Source organism: Homo sapiens, chromosome 5 (assembly GCF_000001405.40).
Source record: "Homo sapiens chromosome 5, GRCh38.p14 Primary Assembly".
In the NCBI taxonomy this organism is placed as follows: Eukaryota; Metazoa; Chordata; class Mammalia; order Primates; family Hominidae; genus Homo; species Homo sapiens.
Genome location: NC_000005.10, coordinates 123623064 through 123629741, shown reverse-complemented (window position 1 = coordinate 123629741; position 6678 = coordinate 123623064). Strand labels below are relative to the sequence as shown.

The 6678-nt window shown below is 38.6% G+C and overlaps 1 annotated feature.

Moving 5' to 3' along the window:
- Positions 386–887: an enhancer, noted in NCBI's record as "H3K4me1 hESC enhancer chr5:122964549-122965050 (GRCh37/hg19 assembly coordinates)". NCBI's record gives its function as "activates a minimal SCP1, AML or CMV promoter by ChIP-STARR-seq in naive H9 embryonic stem cells {active_cell/tissue: H9 hESC(naive)}" and the evidence as "EXISTENCE:reporter gene assay evidence [ECO:0000049][PMID:30033119]".

Here is a 6678-nt window from a genome sequence, read left to right as displayed (position 1 = left end):
TTTTATCCTATTTGATGAACTAGAGAATTTGATTGTGGTGTAAGATGGTTTCAGTCAGCTGGTTTCATTTATGGAAGATTTAAAGGAGCCATGGCTCAGCTCACAACTCCTGGACTGCATGCTCTAACTCTGGGGAACTGTTATCAGTCCCGAGAATTTGTTCTCTGGCTTCTTGGGATTAGGAAATCACTGCACTGGCAGTGCCGCAGTGCTCCGGGACCACTGTGTCACAGCACTCTGATGGATGGTGCCACTCAAAGCTTTTTGTATGGTGGCAGCAGCAGGATCTGTTCTCATTTGCATGTGCCAGCAGCAGTGGCAGCAGCAGCAGCAGAGCAGGGTGGACTTCTTCTCCGCTGTGGCAGGGTACTGGCGGGTGCTGGGTGCTGGCCTCTGAGAAGGCATTCACAGTAGCAATGGAGGCAGCATGGCTGAGGGTACCTCTGGCAACTATGTGCACAGTGGTGCTGGTGGTGTGGTTAGCACAGGGGGCAGGGTGCTGGTGGGCATAGGACTGGGCGCACCCTCCATGAGCATTCACCCAGGTGGAGATGGCTGCTCAGGGTGGGGAAAGGCCCACTCTTCTCTGTGCCTAGTTTCACTCCCATGGCAGTGTTGTCACAGGGGTGGGGTGCTGGTGGGGGCGGGGGTGCGGCTGGCAGGCTCTGTGCCTGCCAAGGCTTTAACTGCAATGGAGACTTGGCGGGGCTGGGGTGGCCGGGAGCCGGGGGATGGAATGTACTCATGCTAGCATTTCTTCTTGATTATCCAGTTTGTTGGGGGTATAATTGTCCATAATAGCCTTATAATCCTTTATATTTCTGTGTTATCAGTTTTAATGTCTCCTTTTTCCTCTCTGATTTGAGTCTTCTTTTTTTCTTAGTCCAACTGGCAGGTTTATTAATTTCATCTTTTTTCAAAAAAAAAAACCAACACTTTGTTTTTTCATCCTTTCTATTGTTTTTCTAGTCTCTATTTTATTTATTTCTGCTCTGATGTTTATTATTTCCTTCCGTCTACTAATTTTGGGCTTAGTTTATTCTTTTTTCAAGACCTCGAAGTAAAATATTAGGTTGTTTACTTGAGATCTTCTTTTTTGATGTAGGTGTTTATTGCTATAAACTTCCATCTTAGAAGTGCTTTTGCTGCATCCCAGAAGTTTTAGTATGCTGTGTTTCCATTTTCATTCGCCTGAATACATTTTTTAATTTTACTTGTAATTTCTTCGTTGACCCATTGGTTGTTCAAGATGTTCAATTTTCATGTGTTTGTGAATTTTTCAGAGTTCTTCCTGTTATTTTTAGTTTTGTATCACTGTGGTCAGAAAAGATACTTGATATGATTTCAATCTTCTTAAATTTGTTAAGACTTGTTTTGTGACCTAACGCATGATCTAGCCTAGATAATGTTCCATGTGCACTTTAGAAGAATGTAAATTCTGCAACTCTTGAATGAAATGCTCTGTATACATCTGTTAGGTCTATTTGGTCTAAAGCAGAGTTTGAGTCCAATGTCTCAATGCTAATTTTCTGTCTGGATGATTTTTCCATTGCTGAAAGTGGGGTGTTAATGTCCTATACTGCTACTGTACATACTATTATTGTCTATTTCTCCCTTTAAATCTGTTAATACATGTGTTGTATATTTAGGTGCTCTAATGTTGGGTGCATATATATTTATAATTGTCATATCATATCCTCCTGCAGCATTAAGCCCTTTATCATTATATAATGGCCTTTTTCATCTTATTTTACAGTTTTTTACTTAAAGCCTATTTTGTCTAATACTCATGTAATACACATCTAATACTTTTGATTTCCATGTGCATGTAATATCTTTTTTCATCCCTTCTTTCAGTCTATGTGTGTCCTTACAGCTGAGGTGAGTCTCTCATTGGCAGCATATACTTAGGTCTCTTCTTTTTAAAAATCCATTTAGCCATTCTGTGTCTTCTGATTGGATAATTTAACATATTTACATTCAAGGTAATTATTGATAGATGAGGACTTAACCACTGCCCTTTCACTTATTGTTTTCTAGTTGTTCTGTAGATTCTTTGTTCCTTTCATTCTCTTTTACTGTCTTCCTTTATGATTAAGTGTTTTTCTCTAGTAGTATGTTTTCATTCCTTGTTTTTTGCGCACATCTACTATAGGTTTTCACTTTGTGGTCACAATGAGGCTTACCAAAAAAAATCTTATAATCAAAACAAGATATTTTAAGGTGATAACAAATTAACTTCAATTAAAAAAAAACTTTACTTTTACTCCACTACCCCTGACTCTGAGTTTTATCATAATTTACATCTTTCTTGTGTTCAACATCCCTTAACAAATTATCATATTTATTTTTAATAGTTTGTCTTTTAATCTTCACACTAAAGGTACAAGTGATCTTTTTTTACCATGATTACAGTATAATAATATTCCAAATATGATTGTGTCCCTGCTTTTACTAGTGAGTTTTATACTCTCAGATGTTTTCATGTTACTCATTAGCATCCTTTTCTTTCAGCTTGAAGAACTGTCTTTAGCATTTCTTGTAAGACAGGTCTGGTGATGATAAACTTCAGCTTTTTTGTGTGTGGGAAAGTGTTTCTCTTTTTCTCTTTCATTTCTTTCTTTTTTTTTTTTTTTTTTTTTTTTTGAGACAGGGTCTCATGCTGTCACCGAGGCTGGAGTGCAGTGGCATGATAATGGCTCACTGCAGTCTCCGCCTCCCAGGTTCAAGCGATTCTCCTGCCTCAGCCACCCGAGTAGCTGGGATTACAAGTGTATGCCACCACACCCGGCTAATTTTTTGTGTTTTTAGTAGAGATGGGGTTTTGCCATGTTGGCCAGTCTGGTCTCAAACTTCTGGCCTCAAGTGATCCATCCACCTTGTCCTCCCAAAGTGCTGGGATTATAGGCATGAGCTGCCATGCCTGACCCTTCATTTATAAAGAACAGATTATCTGGGTACCATACTCTAATTGGTTGTTGTTGTTGTTGTTGTTGTTGTTGTTTTCCCCTTCACCACTTTGAGTATATCATCCCAGTCTCCTGGCCTATAAGATTCTAGTGAGAAGTCTGCTGCTATGTGTATTGGAATTCCTTTATATGTTATTTGCTTCTTTTCTCTTGCTGCTTTCAGGATCCTCTCTATCTTTGATGTTTGACATTTTGATAATAATATGTCTTGAAGTAGTCCTATTTGGACTGAATCTGATTGAAGACCTTTAACCTTCCTGTAATTAGATATTTATACCTTTCTCCAGGTTTGGAAAGTTTTTTGGCTATCATTTCTTTAAATACACTTTTTGTCCCTTTATTTTTCTCTTCTGCTTCTCTAACTCCTATGGACTCAAATATTTTATCCTTTGATACTTTCTCACAAATTCCGTAAGTTTTCCTCATTTCTTTTCATTCTTTTTCCTTTTTTCCTTCTGTTTATTTTCAAATAACCTGCCTTTGAGTTCACAGATTATTTCTTTGCTTGATCAATTCTGCTGTTTATATTCTCTGTGACATTTTTCATTTTGTTCATTATATTTTTCAGTTCCAGGATTTCTATTTGATTTTTATTATCATTTCATTCTCTCTGTTAAATTTCTTGTTCTGATCACTTATGGTCTTCTTTTTATTGAATTGTTTCTCTGTATTTTCTTGAAGTTCGCTGAAAATGGTTACTTTCAATTCTTTGTCAGGAAGCACATTCATTCATCTCCATTTCCTTAGGGTTGGTCACTGGCACTTTATTTTGTCCATTGGTAATATCATGTTTCCCTGATTATTCTTGATCTTTGTTGTTCATTGGTGTCTGAGCAGAGATTCTAGGTATATCATCTGGCATGCTCTCTAAACCTGGTACCACTGAAGTACCATTGAGACACTGAGGGATGCCCTAATCCTGGGATCACTGCAGCCATATGATGCCAGGCTGGAATCTCATGTCTGCTGAGGATATCATGGAGCTGGGATGTGCCTGAAACTCACAGCTGCTGAAGTCTGCCTTCCAATGGGGGTTGTCCAGAGCCCAAGGCCACTGTAGTAAGCTGTCAGTGATGCATACAGCAGACTGATCTCACCTAATAGAAGCTATGCGTTCCTGCTGATGCCAGGGCACGTCTGGAGGTTCGGTCTGCAGGTACTCCCCTAAAGTCAGGGGTTGTGGGAGGTCTGCCTGGTGCTACCTAATTTTAGGTTTGAAGACAAAGTCCTAGGCTCACTTCTCTTTCCTGCAATTTCATGCTATCTTTTCACTTTGCTGCCTGGGATTGGGAAAGGAGTGACATGGGTAATGTGAAACTGTCCTTTCTACTCCCTTCAATGCATATTTTTAATAATTGTGCTATCACTGGCCCAGCATGGTGGCTCACACCTGTAATCCTAGCACTTTGGGAGGCTGAGGCAAGCGGATGGCCTGAGCTCAGGAGTTCAAGACCAGCCCGGGCAACATGGTGAAACCCTGTCTCTACTAAAAAATACAAAAAATTAGCCAGGCGTGGCAGTGTGTGCCTGTAATCCCAGCTACTTGGGAGCCTGAGGCAGGAGAATTGCTTGAATCCAGGAGACAGAGGTTGCAGTGAGCCAAGATTGCCCCACTGCACTCCAGCCTGGGCGACAGAGCAAAACTCCATCTCAAAAGAAAAGAAAAAATTGTGCTATTACCAAGTACCAAGATGGTTCACCTGACTCACTTAGCTCCTGTGAAGGTATTTTTGTGCATGGATAGTTGTTCAAATTGATGTTTCTGCAAGGGGAAAGATCACTAAAAAGTCCTCTTCTGCCATCTTGCTTTGCCTTTTTCCATTCTTCTCCATTTTTATTTTTAACGTGAATAAAAGAGACATAATCTACTCTGCCAAACTGGTCCTCTTGCAGAATAAAGACTCAGCAGAAGGATAGTCTTGAGCATTAAAGCTTACCAGTCCAGGTACCAGAGCTTGTTTAATACATTTGGATGGAGATCTCTCTATATCTTTAGGACATAGTATACAGAATACAGAGTGTATAGTTTTCTGATTTCCTAAGCACTCCATACTAAGTTTAATATTTCACATTATTTAGGGCAATGCTTTTCAAGCATTTTTAAAAAGAAGAACCCATTTTTGAAACATTTTTCCTGGAATCTTAGTGTAACAGAAGGAAAGAGAGGGTAACAGTAATAACGTAGCAGAAAAAAGTGTAATAAATTGACTATTTAGAAAGGTGCAGCAGGGTTAAAAGAAGTCAAAAAGGCTGATTATATTCCTGGGTGTGGTATTTCACTGGAAAAAGCTGCTGTTGACCAACAGACTTTCTAAAGCCTGGTTATTGGAGCAAGGCACTTGCTGATCAGCTGTTGTCTAGAAGCATGGGGCTGTCATTAACTTGCTTACTTTCAGAAGACTAGAATGAAGCTGTTGTTGACTAGCTTATTTTCAGAAGCATGGCCAATGGATGATGTCATTGATTGATTTTTTTTGTATATTTATTAAAGTTATCTTAAATTAACAGTGGTTACTTGTTCACAACTTCAGGCTTTGGCTAAAATTCAAATAGCCTTTTTCTTTCTTGAATATGAAATGTAAGTACTTTCAAGTCTTACTCCCCACTTTTGGTATTCATTGAAACCTGTAGGAGAGATAAGGGATTGTTCAGATGTTTATTTGTGGAGGAATAATTTTCAGCTGCTGTTACCACATAAGTAATTTAAGCATTCCACATTACTGTGGAGTAAAAATAGCTCTAATTGCCAATATTCTTGCAATTTATCAAAAAAAAAAAGCCTAATAAATACAGGACATTTAGGGCACCTGACAAAGTCAATAAAGGATTCAGGACAAAATACTGTACAAGGAAGACATGATTGATTTTCTACCTATATGACATTTAAAATGAGATTTTCATTTCCAAGACTTAATTTAAGATGGCTAGAATGTAATGGTATAAGAATAATTGACATGTTTAAATGATTTTTTTGCAATGAGGATGAAGGTGAAAATAGAAGATAAAAATCATGAAAGGGATTGTTATATATACCATCTACCATCTGGTTAGAGATGACCAAATGATTCACTCCAGAAAACTGAGCAGGAAGTTTGAAAACAATACCAAGAAGTCTTCACACTAATGCACATACAAGACTATGATCAAGAAGACTTACAAACAAATCAGGGTAGTGTAAGTAAGACATAGAAATCGTTGACATGGTATGATGAGGTTTCTGACTGGAATACACACTTATGAGAAGGAAGGGGCAGAGGAGTATACTGAGAGGATGTATACTTGCAATGAAATTTAGTACACCCAAGGTAAATGCACTGTGGAAAATATTTGAGCAAAGAGAGGGGAAATTAAGATACCATTATGAAAGTACATTACAAAAGGCCAGGCCAGTTAAAGAAAATCAGTATTTAAGCACACAAGTCACTGCCTGACACAAGGTGTTCAAGAGGAGCATAAAATACTAAACATAAAATTGAGTAGTGATAGAGGCCCCCAATTGTCTGGAAATTTCTAATTCTTATTTTACTTCAGCTAGGGTTTCTGATGTTCTCTTTTGTGGGAGCTAAAAATCAATACAATGTATCTCATGGAGATAAAGAGTTGAAGGATGGTTATGAGGCTTTGAAGGGTAGCGGGGAGGGGGGTGGTGTGGGATAAACTGGGGATGGTATTATGGGCACAAAATATAGTTAGATAGAGCTGGGTATGG